Source organism: Homo sapiens, chromosome 20 (assembly GCF_000001405.40).
Source record: "Homo sapiens chromosome 20, GRCh38.p14 Primary Assembly".
In the NCBI taxonomy this organism is placed as follows: domain Eukaryota; kingdom Metazoa; phylum Chordata; class Mammalia; order Primates; family Hominidae; genus Homo; species Homo sapiens.
This window is the reverse complement of record NC_000020.11, coordinates 3,400,024-3,416,820: the sequence shown is the minus strand read 5'-3', so window position 1 is coordinate 3,416,820 and position 16,797 is coordinate 3,400,024. Positions and strand designations below refer to the sequence as shown.

Here is a 16,797-nt window from a genome sequence, read left to right as displayed (position 1 = left end):
TTTGGAATTGGGTAATCAACAGAGGTTGGAAGAATGTGAAGGGCTCAGAAGAAGATAGGAAGATGAAGGAAAGTTTGGAACTTGCTAAAGACTTGCGAAATTGTTGTGACCAAAATGCTTATAGTGATACAGACAGTGAAGTCCAGGCTGAAGAGGTCTCAGATGGAGATGACGAATTTATTGGGAACTGGAGCAAAGATCACTTTTATTATGTGTTAGCAAAGAGGTTGGATGCATTGTGCCTCTGCCCTAGGGATCTGTGGAACTTTGAACTTGAAAATGATGATTTAGTGCATCTGATAGAAGAAATTTCTAAGCAGTAAAGCCTCCAAAATGTGACCCAGCTGCTTCTAACAACCTATGCTCACATGTGTGAGCAAAGAAATGACTTGAAACTTGAGCTTATATTTAAGAGGGAAACAGAACATAAAAGTTTGGAAAATGTGCAGCCTGGCCATGTGGTAGGAAATAAAAGCCCATTTTCAGGGGAGGAATTCAAGCAGGCTGCATAAATTTGCATAAGAAAACAGAAGCCAGGCGGGTTGTGGTGGCTCATGCCTGTAATCCTAGCACTGTGGGAGGCCAAGGTGGGTAGATGACTTGAGGTCAGGAGTTCAAGACCAACCTGGCCAACATGGCAAAACCCTGTCTATACTAAAAATACCAAAATTAGCTGGGCATGGTGGTAGGCACCTGTAGTCCCAGCCACTCAGAAGGCTGAGGCAGGAAAATTGAAAGAAGCCAAGTGCTAACATCCAAGACAATGGGAAAGAGGCCTCACAGGCATTTCAGAGACCTTCTTGGCAGCCCCTCCCATTATAGGCCCAGAGGCCGAGTAGGGAAGAATGTTTTTTTGGGGCCAGGCCCAGGGCCCCACTGCCCTGTGCAGCCTTAGGACACTGTTCCCTGCATCCCAGTCACTCCAGATTTAGCCACAACTAAAAGGGGCCCAGGTACAACTCAGGCTGCTGCTTCAGAGGGTATAAGCCATAAGCCAAGGCTTCTATGTAGTGTTAGCCCTGCAGGTGCAGAGAGTGTAAGAGTTGAGGCTTGGGAACCTCTGCCTAGATTTCAGAGGCTATATAGAAAAACCTGGATGCCTAGGCAGAAGCATACTGCAGGGGTGGAGCCCTCACGGAGAACCTCTACTAGGGCAGTGTGAAGGGGAAATGTGGGGTTGGAGCCCCCACACAGAGTCCCCACACAGGGTCCCCACTGGAGCACTGCCTAGTGGAGCTGTGAGAAGAAAGCCACTGTCCTCCACCTCCACTAGGCAGTAGAATGGTAGATCCACTGAGAGCTTGCACCTTGCACCTGGAAAAGCCAGAGGCACTCAACAGAAGCCCATGAGAGAAGCCTCAGGGCCTAAACCCTGCAAAGCCACAGGGGTGGCACTGCCCAAGGCTTTGAGAGCCCACCCCTCATACCAGTGTGCCCTAGATGTGGGACATGGGGTCAAAGGAGATTATTTTGGAGCTTTAAGATTTAATGACTGCCCTTCTGGGTTTCAGACTTGCATGGGGACTGTGGCCCATTTCTTTTGTCCAATTTCTCCCTTTTGGAAGGGGATTATTTACCCAATGCCTGTACCCCCACAGTATCTTGGAAGTAACTAACTTGTTTTTGATTTTACAGGCTCATAGGTGGAAGGGACTAGCCTTGTCTCAGATGAGGCTTTTGATGGTGAACTTTTGAGTTAATGATGGAATGAGTTAAGACTTTAGGGGACTGTTGGGAAGGGATGATTGTATTTTGAAATGTGAGAAGGACATGAGATTTGGAGGGCCGGGGAAAAGTGATGTGGTTTGGATCTGTGTCCCCACCAAATCTCATGTCAAATTGTAATCCCCAGTGTTGGAGGTGGGGCCTGGTGGGACGTGATTGGATTGTGGGCGTGGTTTCTCATGAATGGTTTGGCACCCTCCCCTTGGTGCTACACTTGTGATAGTGAATGCTCATGAGATCTGGTTGTTTAAAAGTATGTAGCACCTTCCCCTCTCTCTCTTGCTCCTCCTCCAGCCATGTAAGATGTGCCTGCTTCTCCTTTGTCTTCTGCCATGATTGTAAGTTTCCTGAGGCCTCCACAGAAGCAGAAGCCACTATGCTTCCTGTACAGCCTGCAGAACCATGAGCCAATTAAGACTCTTTTCTTTATAAATTACCTAGTCATTCCTGTACAGCCTGCAGAACCATGAGCCAATTAAGCCTCTTTTCTTTATAAATTACCCAGTCTTTCCTGAAGTAGCAGGTCCATAAAATACAGAAAATACAAAATACCCAGTCCAAGGTATTTTTTATAACAGTGCAAGAATGGACTAATACACAGAACATATTCTAGGATAAAGTTAACAACCCTGAAAATTGCTCTTCAGATTTGGTTCATTAAAGCAAATACCAACTTTCATGGCACAACTTGATTTTCTATTCTTCAGGATTGTTTCATCTCTTGATCAATAACTTAAAAATGCTGCCCCCCCCAACAAAAAAGAGCATTATCATCATTTTTTATTCCTTTCTTCTTCAACACTAAATATGAGGATTCCACTTGTTCCCATGCTAGAAGAGTATTCATTAATATCCATATAAAAGAATAAAATTCTTGACCAGGCACGGTGGCTCATGCCTGTAATCCTAGCACTTTGAGGCCAAGGCAGGTGGATTGCTTGAGGCCAGGAGTTCGAGATCAGCCTGGCCAACATGGTGAAACCCTGTCTCTACTAAAATTACAAAAACTTAGCCAGGCATGATAAAGCACGCCTGTAATCTCAGCTATGTCGGGAAGCTGAGGCACAAGAATTGCTTGAACCCAGGAGGTGGAGGTTGCAAGGAGCTGAGATCATGCCACCGTACTCCAGCCTGGGCAGCAGTGAGTCTCTGTCAAAAAAAAAAAAAAAAAGAATAAAATTCTTCACGGGATGAAATCCATTTCAAAAGGTAATCATGACAAGTGCTGTAATAATTATTCACTTCAAGTCAGACTTTTTCTTGTTCGTAAGTAATGTTGTCCCTTTTAAGAACAGCCTTGACACTTAAAGGGTTACATTTTTCTTCATCAATTATTCATTTAATGCATTCAAGAGTTCTCTTAAGCAATGGAGTATTTCAATACCGCTGTTTGCTGTTTTTTCTTTGGCATAATCCTATTGCTGAAAAGGTTTCCCTCAATGGATTACTTTAAAAGTCAGTAAGAAATTTGGGGACCTTTTCTTTTTTTCTTTCTGTTTTTTTTTTTTTTTTTTTTTTTTTTTTTTTTTTACAAAGAGAGATGAGGTCTTGCTCTGTTACCCAGGCTAGAGTGCATAGGTCATAACTCACTGCAACCTTGAACTCCTGGGCTCAGGCTCTCTCCCCACCCCAGCCTCCTGAGTAGCCGGGACAACAGGCATGTGCCACTATGCCCGGTTAATTTTTAAATTTTTAAAATAGAGATAGAGTCTCACTATGTTACCCAGACTAGTCTGGAACTCCTGCCTCAAGGGATCCTCCCACTGTGGCCTCCCCAGTAGCTGGTATTACAGGCGTGCCACTGTGCCTAGCCCGAGAGCTTTTCCTTTAAAATTAAAATATGTTTTCAGTACTTCAAATAAACTGAGGAGTCTCTCAAATCCATATGTTAAAGAATGCTGGCTGGGCGCGGTGGCTCACGCCTATAATCCCAGCACGTTGGGAGGCCAAGGCAGGTGGATCACCTGAGGTCAGGAGTTCAAGACCAGCCTAACCAACATAATGAAACCCCATGTCTACTAAAAATACAAAATTAGCCAGGCGTGGTGCTGCATGCCTGTAATCTCAGCAACTCAGGAGGCTGAGGCAGGAGAATGACTTGAACCCAAGAGGCGGAGGTTGTAGTGAGCTGAGATTGTGCCATTGCACTCCTGCCTGGGCAATGAGAGCGAAAGTCCATCTCAAAAAAAAAAAAAAGAGCTAACAGGTTTTTTGAATGCAAGAGAATTGAGGAATACTAAATGCCAACAAAATCACAAAAATATCTTAATTGTTCAGTTCAAATATTATAAACGCTGACATAAGAATAATTTCAGGACAGTTGCTTCAAAGGCAATGGAAAAGACATCATATGCTGTTTGAGCAGCATTACACAGAATATGAGCAGGACAGTCAATAGCTTCCATAGCATCAGTCAAGCTTTACTTTAGTTTTGAATAAACATAGTGCGAGCATCTACCAATATTTTATTTGTATTTTTCCATCAAAAACTGTACAGTTTTTAATAACTCCTAATTCATTAGGAGAATCTCTGCAACAATTTGTTCATTTCTGAAATCTCATCTGGAAGGGATTTTACACAAAATAGCCCCATAAGCAAGCCTTTTTCACAAGGAAACTGTTGCACAGGCAAAGGAAAAGCTTTTCTTCACTGTGATTACTCACATCCATGGTTATGCTATAAAACAGCAAGGCATTTACAGCTTTGATAATCACTGCAACAGTAGTAAGTGGAGTCGTTACATCTCAAATTATTGCAGTAGATTTTGTCCTGGCATTTGAAAATTTGCTTGAAATATTGGCATTAGAAAATACTACTGGTAGCGGTATGTTCAAAGAGTGACTTGAGCTGAATGATGACAACAGACAGTATGGGAGGCCATTACAACTTTGCTGTGATTATCTTCTCAATCTGAATTTATCTTTAAAATTTGTCATTTTATCCATTCCTTTGGTACAAAAATCACACATCTTTTATGCTTAGCCGTTAGTATGTGCTGATGTATATCTGTCTTTCCACCATTTTCAATATTGAATAAATACTTGCATACCACATAAAGAGCTGCAAATGGATTTTCTCTCCTTTAATAAATGTACACTCTTCAGAAAATTTGTCATAAAATTCACTCTTGCAATTTGGCATTTGTGGATTCACATATACACAAATAAAGAAATAGATAACACAATCGATTTTCAACAAGGGTACCAAGACAATTCAATGGGGAAAAAAATAGTCTGTTCAACAAATGGTGCTGAGACAAGTGAATAGCCACATGGAAAAGAATCAAGTTGGATCCCTGCCTCACATCATATAGAAAAATTAATTTGGAATTAATCAAAGATCTAAAATGTAAGAGCCAAAATTATTAAACTCTTAGAAGAAAATGTAAGAGGTACGTCTTCATGACTTTGGATTAGGCAATAGTTTCCTAGTTATGACACATAGAGCACAAGCAACAAAAGAAAAAAATTGATAAACTGGATATCATTAAAATTTTAAAGTTTTGTGTTTCAAACAACAATATCAAGAATGTGAAAAGACAACCCACAGAATGGGATAAAATTTTTGCAAATTGTATTTCTGATAAGGTACTTATATCTAGACTATATAAAGAGCTACCACAACATAATAAAAGGACAAGTAACCAAGTAAAAATGGTCAAAAAATTCGAGCAGACATTCCTCCAAAGAAGAGGTATAGGCCAGGCACGGCGGCTCATGCCTGTAATCCCAGCACTTTGTGAGGCTGAGGTGGGCAGATCACCTGAGGTCGGGAGTTTGAGATCAGCCTGACCAACATGGAGAAACCCCGTCTCTACTAAAAATACAAAATTAGCTGGGCGCGGTGGCGCATGCCTGTAATCCCAGCTACTCGGGAGGCTGAGGCAGGAGAATCGCTTGAACCCGGGAGGCAGAGGTTGCGTTGAGCTGAGATCATGCCATTGCACTCCAGCCTGGGCAACAAGAGTGAAACTCCGTCTCAAAAAAAAAAAAAAAAAAAAAAAAAGGAGGAGGTCCAAATGGCTAATAAGCACATGAAGAGATGCTTGACATCATTAGCTATCAGGAAATATAAGCCAAAACCACAATGAGATACCACTTCATACCCTCTAAAATGGCTATAGTGAAAAAGATAATGAGTATTAGGGAAGATATGGAAAAATTAGAACCCACATATGATGCTGGTGAGAATATAAATGGTGCAGCCACTTTGGAAAACCGTTTGGCAGTTCCTCAAAAGGTTAAACGTAGAGTTACCATGTGATCCAGAAACCCACTCCTAGATCGCCAAGGAAACAAACTGTGTGTCCACAAAAAAACTTGTACACAAATGTTAATAATAGCATTAGCTACAAAACATAGCAAAACAGTGGAAACAATCTGACTGTTCATTAACAGATAAATGGATAAGCAAGATGTGGTATATCCATTCAATGTAATAATATTCAACCATGAAAAGGAACAAAATTCTGATACATGCTGCAACATGGATGAACCTTATAAACATTATGCTAAATGGAAGAAGCCAGTCATGAAAAACCATATATTGAATGATGCTGATAACATGAAATGTCCAGAATAGGCAAATTAAAAGGTTAGTGGTTGCCTAGGGCTGGGGTGGTTGGGAAGAAATGGAGGAATGACTGCTAATAGGTACAGGATTTTCCTGTTGGAGTGATAAAAATGTTCTAAAATTGATTGTGGTGGTGGTTGCACAAATCTGTGCCTATACTCATTGATTTTTTTTTTTTTTTTTGAGACAGGGTCTCACTCAGTCCCCCATGCTGGAGTGCAGTGGCCTGATCTTAACTCACTGCATCCTAGACCTCCCAGGCTCAAGCGATCCTCCCATCTCAGTCTCCTGAATAGCTGCGACTACAGACACATGCCACTATGCCTGGCCAATTTGTGTGTGTGTGCATATATGAAATATATTTGTATACATAAATTATAATATAAATATATATTTTTATAAATAAACTATATATATATAGAGAGAGAGAGACAGAGAGATGAGGTTTTGCCACGTTGCCCAGGCTGGTCTCAAACTCTTGGGCTCAAGAAATCCACTTGTCTTAGTCTCCCAAATTGCTGGGACTGCAGGCGTGCACCACCACGTGTAGCCCCGTTGAATTGTTTTTAGAGCTGATTTTCAGAGCTTTTGCACCGATGGGAAGTTATCTCTAAATAATGGTGGTTACTTGTTCATGACTCTGGACTTGAGCTAAAAAATTGATCACTGCAAGCATAGAAAGAATTGAAAGAGTTGTATTTGATAAATCTCATGACGGTGTCATAGCGTCTGTCATAAGTCCAAACTCATACCAAATAGTAACTGGGAATTGAATCTTGAGCTGTGAACTTTGAACTCGGACAAAACAATAAATTGAACTCAATATCTGATGCAAAAAAAAAGTGAATTTCTTCTCTGCTTGCAAGGGAGAGCGGTACTTGTAAGGTACAGCCTCTCTGAACAAAGCCAGAGCTGATCTTATAAAAGGTTTTGAAGGCCGGGCGCGGCTCACGCCTGTAATACCAGCACTTTGGGAGGCCAAGGCTGGCGATTCACTTGAGGCCAGGAGTTCAAGACCAGCCTGGCCAACATGGCGAAACTCTGTCTCTACTAAAAATACAAAAAATTAGCCAGGCTTGGTGGCACAGGCCTGTAATCCCAGCTACTTGGGAAGCTGAGGCACAAGAATCGCTTGAACCAGGAGGCAGAGGTTGCAGTGATCTGAGATCACGCCACTGCACTCCAGCCTGAGCAACAGAGTGCGACTCTGTCTCCAAAAAAAAAGGAGAAAAAGAAAAAAAAGGCCGGGCGCGATGGCTCAGGCCTGTAATCCCAGCACTTTGGGAGGCCAAGGCAGGCGGATCAACTGAGGTCAGGAGTTTGAGACCAGTCTGGCCAACATGGCAAAACCCGTCTCTACTAAAAATACAAAAATGAGCCAGGCGTGGTGGCGGGAGCCTGTAATCCCAGCTACTCGGTAGGCTGAGGTAGGAGAATCGCTTGAACCGGGAGGCAGAGGTTGCAGTGAGCCGAGATCGCGCCACTGCACTCCAGCCTGGGCGACAGAATGAGACTCAGTCTGGGAAAGAAAAAAAAATGGTTTTGGAAATATTCGCCTTCAGGGATTGGCTGTCTTTCCGAATCAGAAGTGGAGTGCGGCAGCTGAGTACCCACTGACTTTCGGAAGCCTGGTCGCTGGTGTCAGGCACTTGTTGATTGGCTATTGTCGGAGGCTTAGAGCGGTCACTGATTGGCTGACTTTCAGAAGCGTGGGGTTGTCATTGATTTACTAAGAAGCATAGTTACCGGAGTGAGGCTATCGCTGATTGGCTGATTTTCAGAGCTGCTGCACCGACGAGAAGTTATCTCTAAATAATGGTGGTTATTTGTTCACGACTCCGGACTTGAGCTAAAAAAGTATTTTCCTTTCTTGAATATGAAAGACGAGCACTTTAAATTCCTACTCCCTTCTGGTCTTCCCTCAGCCAAACCTGAAGGAGACACCATAGGGATTGTCCAAATCTTCATTAGTGTAGGAAGGATTTTCAGCCAGTGTTGTAATTTAAGTGATCTAGCACCAATTACTGTGGGAGAAAAATAGCTCTAATTATTGCAATTTAGTGTAAAAAGATGAATACAGGACATTTAAGGCATTCCGACGAGGTCAACGAAGGACGCAGGCCAATAATCATTAAATACGTCCTGTATATACAGGACTCCTGGCAACTATCAGTGCAGTATTTCCCAAGTTTCTTGTACATGTCCCTGCAGAAACCGGTAGAGCTAGGATCTTAACAGTAAAGGTTAGGGGTCTTCTGGGATCCTGTGCGCCTCTAACGCTCATGCCCTGCGCAGGGCTGGGTGCGCACTGCTGCGCTAACCCGAGGCCGGCTAGGAATCTATTGGATGTTTGAAGGGTGGGTGCGGAATTGATGACCAGGAAGCGGGAAGACACCGTTCCGGAGAACAGGGAAGCGAGCCGGGTACTGGGGAGGTGCGCTGGGTACTGGGGAGGTGCGCTGGATCCTGACGCCGGAGCGGAAGACTTCGCTGGAGGCCGGGGCTGGTCGGGCGGGGCGGGGCGGGCAGAGGCGGAGGGGCGGGGCCGGGCTGGGAGAGGCTCCGCCCCCGGGCGCGTCCGTGTGCGTGGCCGGGGGGCGCCGCGCAGAGCCCCGCTCTATGATGCCGGGCTTGAGGACGAGGCCGGGCGGCGCTGTGGCAACCCTCACCCTGCGGACACGCGCTCCCAACATCCGGTCCGGCGGCCTCGCAGCTTAAGAAGTGGGGTCCCTGTGGCCGTGCGCCGACCCCCAACTCCAGCCGCTCCCAACGCCCCCATCCGCTCTCGGTGCGCGCGCCCCCTCCACGCCCCCGCCCCCGCCCCCGCCGGGCCCGCGCGCCGCGCCCCCTCCCACCCGGCACGCCCTGCCGCCCCGCCCGGCCGCAGCTAGCGTGGAGCCGCCCTGCGGGCAACTGAGACCCTCGCAGCTGCACCGTCCTCCTCCGCCGCCAGTCGTCCGCCGCCATGGACGTGTACCCCCCGCGCCGGCAGGGGCTGCCCCGCGCTCGGTCCCCTGGCGGCTCCAGCCGCGGGTCACCCTCCGTCAGGTACGCGGGGCAGAGGCAGCCGAGGGGCGGCCGGGCGGGGGATGCGGGCTGTCGGGGTCCGGCGACGCCTCCCGCCGCAGGGCGTGGTCCGACATGGCTTCCTCGGGACGGTTCTTTGCTGAACGGCTCAGGGAGGAATTTTTCCCAGGAACGGCGCCCTCTGTAGAGGCCCCACAATGGCTCCCCTTTGGACAACCCCGCAACGGTTTCCCCACAATGGCTCCCCCACAGACAACCCTGCAACGGTTTCCCCACAATGGCTTCCCTAGGGACAGCGATTCCCTGTGAAGACACTGTTATGACGTCCTCACCCCCATAGAACGTTTCTCCCAGGAAGGATTCTTCTACACAGAACCCCACAGAGGCTTCCCTATGAATAACTCACTCGCCTTCCCCAGGGAATGTTTCCCTCAGAAACTGCTACTCTACAGACCTCACACCTCCACACACACAATAGCTCCCTCGTGTAGAACCCCCAAATGGATTACCTAGAAAGCCCCCTCCCGTGGGTCTCTAGAGCCTTTGCCCTTGACAACGGCTTCCTTAAAGAGTGTCCCCCGCCCCCTACGTACATAATGACAGCATCTCCCCTGTCGCGCGTTTCCCCAGCTCCCCCTGCCTCAGCCTGCATCGCGACGCCCCCTCACTCCACAATAGGGAGCTCGGGTTGGGAGGAAGTAGAGGTATTAGGGACGCAGGAGGAAAAACTGGATAAATAGGGGAAAGAGGCCTAGAACCTCCGAAAGCGGCGGACGCCAGGCCCCTTACCGTAGAGACACAGTCCCAAGCTACCTCAGTATGGGGAGGGGGTGATCGTGGGGAGCGTTCCCCGCCCCCTTTAGATATAGGAAGATCCGTTTCCGATTTCTGTGCCCTATGCGTTTGGTGCTGATCTTGTTGGTCTGGGCATTGTTTGTGATGGAGCTGGTGTGGGGCGCCGGCGCAGTGTGGAGGTTGGAATGATGGAGGGGTTGCAGCAGAGACCTTTGAGAAGGAGAGGGAGAGGGGGAATGCGAGCGATGAGCTTTGGTACTGCTAAACTGTCATTAAAACAGGAGAGGGTTTTGTTGTTGTTTGCTTTTTCTTATTCTAGCCACATAGCAAAGCAAATATATTGTTCCCTTGAAAGGAGGTTGCCAATCTACATGTTAAAACAGTTTTCTTATATTCTTGTTATGGTACTTAAGGCATATGTTTTAACTTTGCTTGCTGATCTGATTTTTGGGGTTGTTTGTTTGCTTTAACTAGACCAAATTATTGGAGAACAAGAAACTGATTCTTAGAAACCTGTTTCTTTTTTACTTCCCTGCATTCCTTTCCACAACCCAGAATCCAGTATATGTTTGTTGAACAAATAAAGGATAGAGAAGGTGGGGGGTAGATACCAATGAAACATTGCATTTAGGAGTCCTAAATTGCTTCGAATCTGTCAGGTGACATTTTTGAACTCCTGCTCTGCCCTTCAGTGTAATTCCTTGTGGGCTTTACAGTTCCAAGTTTAACTGCTTATAGTAACGCATCTCCAATCCTTTGCAACATTTCTGCCAGTTTCACTGTCTGAAGCAGAAAGTATTTGAACTTGTATAGACATTGCATAGGATACTTTAGAACAGCCATCCGTTAAATCTAGGCTCTGTGTGGACTTGAGGTTTATCCCAGATCATCTTGAGCTTAGGAATTTGGATTTGAGTCTGTTGAGATCTTTAGGGGGAAAAAAATCATCTCTACCTTAGAATCTGTCTCTTAAATGCTGCCTTTCTTGTTTTTAGTAGCATGGCCATGTGCTTTTTATTTATTCTTTTAAAGGTAGTGATTCTATGTTCAAAGAAGTATGCTGGCTCACTTTACTGATCATACCCGAACTCCAAATCTTCTATCAAGTGGTTTGAATAAAATTTGATTTCAGACAAGGAATAGTGCAAGGAACCCCAAGGCCTAGCTGCCCCCAATACCTTTGGTGAAAGAAATTTGCTGAAGGCTTCCCTCCTTTCCCCACTTCTACATGATTGAACGTGCTTTTCTTGCCCATTCAAGCCTTTCCCTTACTCTTGACATTGAATGTTACTAGCACTTTCCTGTCACCCATATATGGCTTTGCTGCTGACTGCTGAGTGATGGAAGGGGCAAACCTAACTGGTGAAGTGACATTCCTAAGACCCATAGATAGTACTCTGCAAGTGTATGGTTCTAGCACGGTAGTTCATTTTCACAGATGGAGAATGGAGATCAAGAATTAAAATATTGTTACTCAGAATGAGAGGCTTCTCTTTAAGCATGTGATAGTCATCAGTCTTACCAGGTATTTTTGGTTTCTGTCTCTTGAGCATGTAGTAGAATTTTACTTGCTTGCTTCTTTGAAGTTAGGTATGGCCTTAAGAGTTGCTTTTGGTCAGTGAAATGCGTGGGAATACTGTGTAGCCTTTCATGGTACAAATTTCTGTTGTGTAGTTTTCCATTCTCTTTCCTTCTGTCATGGTAGCTGTTGGGGCTGCAAATGGCAGCCACCCATCAGTCAAGGCCCCAGAGCTAGCTTCCAGGTGACCTATGCTTGACAGGTAGGTTGAGCAAGAAGTGAAACACCACCGGGATTTTGGACTTATTACCAAGGTATAAACTAACCTATCTGGATCAATGCTAAGGAACCAGTGGAAATCTAGCTGAAAGATACTTTCTACTTCAAAATGTTTTTCTGTAGAGCGATCTGTTCCTGCTTGAAACTTCTTTAATAGTTTAAATTTCACTGTTTATTTATATAAATTATGCAACAAGTACTCTGTTAGGTGCTGTAGAGTCAGATAAATACAGCAGTCCCCTGCCCTCAAATAACTCTTTTGTAAAGGGGAAGAGACAGTAACAGTAGAAATCATAATATAGAATAGTGAGTCATAAGTACTGAGGAAGAAATACGGCCGAAAGAACAATAATACAAGAAGGCCTAGTCGGTTTTTGCCTCAGCTATTGAAAGAATGGAGTTGCCATTTATTAGTATTAAGAACACTAGAAGAAGAAAAGGCAGTGTAGCAGTGTCTTCCAAGTTCTGAGAGAAAATGGTTTCCTACCTCTGAGGTGGGAGAATAATTGAGAACAGACATTGAAAGCCGAATGAGATTGTTGACAGTGTGATGAGAACTAGTAATCAGGCTGGGCACGGTGGCTCACGCCTGTAATCCCAGCACTTTGAGAGGCCAAGGTGGGTGGATCACCTGAGGTCAGGAGTTTGAGACCAGCCTGACCAACATGGTGAAACCCCACCTCTACTAAAAATACACACAAAAAAATTAGCTGGGCATGGTGGCAGGCACCTGTAGTCCCAGCTACTCGGGAGCCTGAGGCAGGAGAATCACCTGAACCTGGGAGGTGGAGGTTGCAGTGAGCCAAGATCTTGCCATTGCACTCCAGTGTGGGCAACAAGAGTGAAACTCCATCTCAAGAAAACAAAAGGACTAATAATAGACAATTAGATTCGATAATGTGGAGGGTCACTAGTGACCTTGACAAGAACAGTTTTGGTGCAGTGGGTTCAAGAGAAAATGAAGCCAGTCACCTGTAGGTCAGCTACTCGGAAGGCTGAGGTGGGAGGATCCCTTGAGTCCAGGAATTCAAGTCCAGTCTGGGCAACATAGCAAGACCCCTGTCTCTAAAAAACATAAATTGATTAATTTACAAAGCAGAAAATGAGAGGAGAATTGAAGACACTGAATATAGACAGTCATATTGATGTTCTTTTGAGGATGGTTATAAGGAGAGTAGAGTAATGGGGCTGTAGTTGGAAGATCATGAGGTGTCGAGTTCTTTTTGTTTTTATATGGGCAGATATTATAGCATGTTTGTAAATTGATGGGCTGATGCAGTAGGGAGGGACAATTGATGATTAAAGAGAAGTGACACTTGCAAGGGTGAAGTCCTTGAGTAGGTAAGATGGAATGGGATCTAGTATGTAAATGGGGATGTTGGCCTCAAGTTAGACAGGAGCAATGCCAACAATTCATTGGTGGCAGATTATGTGAACCCAAATGCTGGTAGCTTGTTGGTGGGAGAAAGTGGAAGTTCTCTTCTGATTACTTCTGTATTCTCAGGTAAATAAGAAGGAAGGTCTTCAGCTAAAAATGAAGAGAGGTGTTGGATTCATCCAAGAGAATGGGGAAGAATGAGTTGAAAATAAGGAAAAGTTTTAGGATTTCCAGGCAGCACCTAGTGCCCATTTGATGTTTGTAGTTGTAAACCTAGGTGAGACCCTACTTAGCATAGTTGTACACTTTTCCTGCAGCTGTGTTGAGCTGCTTGGATGTGGCAATGTGGAAGGGAATAGCTGAAGTAGGATGGAGGACACCACCATTGGAAGTGGGGGAATCAAGGCACTGAGAGGTAAAGATTGTGGTGAAGATTGAGGTTATCATAAATTAACAGAATGACCTAGGGACCTGTAGATGTCTGTAACAGGGAGAGATAGCAGGTAGTTATTGTTTGAAGACATGAAGAAATGATAAAAAAATAAATACATTCCTTAGAACCAAAGGACATACGTTTCCAGATTGAAAAGACTTGCGAAGAATCTAGCACAATGAATTTTAAAATATCCATGCCAGGACCACATGATCTCACTTATATGCGGTAGAATCTAAAAAAGTTGATCTTGGCCCTGGTGGGAGGATTGCTTGAGCCCAGGAGTTTGAGACCAGTCTGGGTAACATGTCGAGACCCCATCTTTACAAAGTTCAAAAAAAGAAAAATTAGCCAGGCGTGGTGGCATGCGCCTGTGATTCCAACTACTCAGGAGGCTGAGATGGGAGGATCATGTGAGCCAAGGAGGTCAAGGCTACAGCGAGCTGCGTTCATGCCACTGCACTCCAGCCTGGGCAACAGAGTGAGATCCTGTGTCAAGAAAAAAAAAAAAAGTTGATCTTATAGAAGTAGAGAGTAGAATGGTGGTAATTAGGATGTAGCGGGGATGGGGAGATGTTGATTGAAGGATATATAATTTTAGTTGGATAGGGGAATTAGTTTAAGAGATCTGTTATACAACATGGTAACTATAGTTAATGATTATATATTCTTGAAAAATGCAAACAGAGTGGATATTAAGTGTACTCATCAAAAAAAAACTATGTGAGGTGATGCATTTGTTAATTAGCTAGATTTAACTTTTCCGCAATGTATATATACTTCAAAACATCAGGTACACAAATACATATATATATCTGTCAATTTAAAATAAAAATATGCATGTCCTGGCATAGCATCATGAAATTTTCTAGCACCATGAAGACAATATCTGTAAGTCACATAGATAGGATCAGGAATGCTAGGATTCTAGCAGGATTGTAAGCTAGAAAGTAGTGGAGCAAAGAGTGCCTTTTGAAGGAAAATAGATTCCCACCCAGAATTCTGCACCCAGCCAAACTCTCAGGCAGGTGTAAGAAAGGATGAAGATATTTCACACATGTAAGTTCTCAAAATTTGACCTCACATGCCCGTTTTATGAAGAAGCTACTGGAGGATGTGCTCTAGCAAAACAGTCTGATTAAGGATTTCCCGTGCTGGCGTCCCTTCTACCATCTTCTATAGAAAGATTCTACAGATCTTTCTGTATCAAAAGGGGGCGGGGGAGCCCTCCCCACGGTCACCCCCTCCCCATACCGAGGTAGCTTGGGTGACATAGGTAGGATTTCTTTATTGTCAAGAGGGTCATTGGGAAGGATCTTCTCTATCACCCCTGGAAAGTATCAGGGGGCTGGGACTATTTTTAATTGCCATTTCTCACATTGTTTCCCTTGCTGCTTAGATTGGTGTCTGGCACATAGGACTCGCTGAGTATGAACTGCTATTGTTAGCTATTATGAAACACTGCTTCAGTAATTATTTATTGAATGAAAGATAATAATTACAGGTGAAGCTGTGGGCTATGTTAAATTTCATGGGTATTCAGAGAATGAAGAGTCATAGTTGCGAGCTAGGTGGTAAGAAAGTGGTTCATCAGCCGGGTGCTGTGGCTTATGCCTGTAATCCCGGCACTTTGGGAGACCGAGGTGGGTGGATCACCTGAGGTCAGGAGTTCAAGACCAGCCTGGCCTTGGAAAAACCCCATCTCTACTAAAAATAACAAAAATTAGGCCTAGTGACGGGTGCCTGTAATCCCAGCTACTGGAGAGGCTGAGGCAGGAGAATTGCTTGAACCCAAGAGGCAGAGGTTACAGTGAGCTGAGATCGCGCCACTGCACTCCAGCCTGGGCAACAGAGTAAGACTCTGTCTCAAAAATAAAAAAAAAAGAAAGTGATTCATGATAGTGATACTCTAGAGAAAGCACTTTAATTAAAGCCTCACAGAGGTTAGTTATCTCTTCAGGTGTTTCTTAGCTAGTTGCCATTACCCCTCATTCTCTTGGAGGGTTTACAGATCTACGGAAGTAATAACTACGGTACAGATGGTCCCAGCCTTAAGAAAATTCAAAATGCAAAGCAAGCCAATGCCCTGGAATACCTGAAAATGTGAAGCTTCAGCCTCCAGTTTACTTGGATGCTGGCCAGGAAGGCTTGGTGTGGTGCCTGTAGAAGTAAAAAGGGTATGCTTACTTAGACTTGTATGGCTTTATTTCTGGTCCAGGGATAGAGGCCTATATATAACTTCCTTTTCACTTGTATCTGGGATGACAGTATACTGAGGACTCTTATTTAGTGAGTGTTGTGGCATTAATAGTACACAATATCTTAACAATGTTTCACAGCTTGTGGGGTCTTCTCTGAGGTTCTGACCTTTGGAGAGGGGAGTGAATGAGACACAAATGCCCTTTAAGTAACACAGCTTAAATTATTGTTTTTGCCCTAAAATTTTTAAAAAAGAAAGAAAAGCAAAGCAGGGTTTGCAACTTGGATATTTAAAATTGTTATCTGTGATTTTTAGCTCTGGTTTGAAGAAAAGGCAGCTCATTTGGCATTCTTTTTGTTTTTAACTTTTAATTTTGAAATAATTTTAAATTTATAGATGAATTTCTAAAGTGGTGCAGAGTGTTCCTATATACTCTTCACGCAGCTTCCCCTAATATTAAGATCTTACATATAACCCTGGTGCATTTATCAAAACTAAGAGATTAATATTGGTATAATAGATTTGTTTACTTAGTAAACTTTTGTTTACTTGGAGTTTACTACTCCAGCTTTTATTTGAATTTTCTCGGTTTCTCCACACATTCTTTTTCTGTTCCAGGATCCAACTCAGGATTTCACATTGCATTTAGATTTAGCATGTTTTTAATGGTCAAATAAGTGAAGGAAAGGAATTGTGAATGCTTTGTGATTGAAGACTTGTGAAACTGACTTTACAAAGAACAGATTCTGTAAGGAAATATTCAGAGAATGCCAGAGAGAAGGAAGAAAATGGAAAATAAAGTGTTGTATACACTGGAATATAGTGAACAAACTTCAGATAACATTTTCCATTTGTGGTGGGTAACAGT

At 44.1% G+C, this 16,797-nt stretch overlaps 1 protein-coding gene across 3 annotated transcripts in view, besides 5 other annotated features; it reads left to right on the top strand.

Annotated features, from left to right (window-relative positions):
• Positions 7,751-8,252: an enhancer, noted in NCBI's record as "OCT4-NANOG hESC enhancer chr20:3389216-3389717 (GRCh37/hg19 assembly coordinates)". NCBI's record gives its function as "activates a minimal SCP1, AML or CMV promoter by ChIP-STARR-seq in primed H9 embryonic stem cells {active_cell/tissue: H9 hESC(primed)}" and the evidence as "EXISTENCE:reporter gene assay evidence [ECO:0000049][PMID:30033119]".
• Positions 8,629-8,828: an enhancer, noted in NCBI's record as "active region_17478". NCBI's record gives its function as "activates an Ori minimal core promoter by ATAC-STARR-seq in GM12878 lymphoblastoid cells {active_cell/tissue: GM12878}" and the evidence as "EXISTENCE:reporter gene assay evidence [ECO:0000049][PMID:35858748]".
• Positions 8,819-9,068: a silencer, noted in NCBI's record as "silent region_12620". NCBI's record gives its function as "represses an Ori minimal core promoter by ATAC-STARR-seq in GM12878 lymphoblastoid cells {active_cell/tissue: GM12878}" and the evidence as "EXISTENCE:reporter gene assay evidence [ECO:0000049][PMID:35858748]".
• Positions 9,109-9,348: a silencer, noted in NCBI's record as "silent region_12619". NCBI's record gives its function as "represses an Ori minimal core promoter by ATAC-STARR-seq in GM12878 lymphoblastoid cells {active_cell/tissue: GM12878}" and the evidence as "EXISTENCE:reporter gene assay evidence [ECO:0000049][PMID:35858748]".
• Positions 9,152-16,797, top strand: part of DNAAF9 (dynein axonemal assembly factor 9) — a 158,364-nt gene continuing 150,718 nt past the window's right edge. For all 3 annotated transcript variants that reach the window (XM_005260684.5, NM_001009984.3, XM_047440081.1), the window contains exon 1: positions 9,152-9,346. In XM_005260684.5, coding sequence (XP_005260741.1) covers positions 9,264-9,346 — 83 coding nt within the window. In that variant the 5' untranslated portion in view covers positions 9,152-9,263. The remainder of the gene's footprint in view (positions 9,347-16,797) is intronic.
• Positions 9,409-9,488: a silencer, noted in NCBI's record as "silent region_12618". NCBI's record gives its function as "represses an Ori minimal core promoter by ATAC-STARR-seq in GM12878 lymphoblastoid cells {active_cell/tissue: GM12878}" and the evidence as "EXISTENCE:reporter gene assay evidence [ECO:0000049][PMID:35858748]".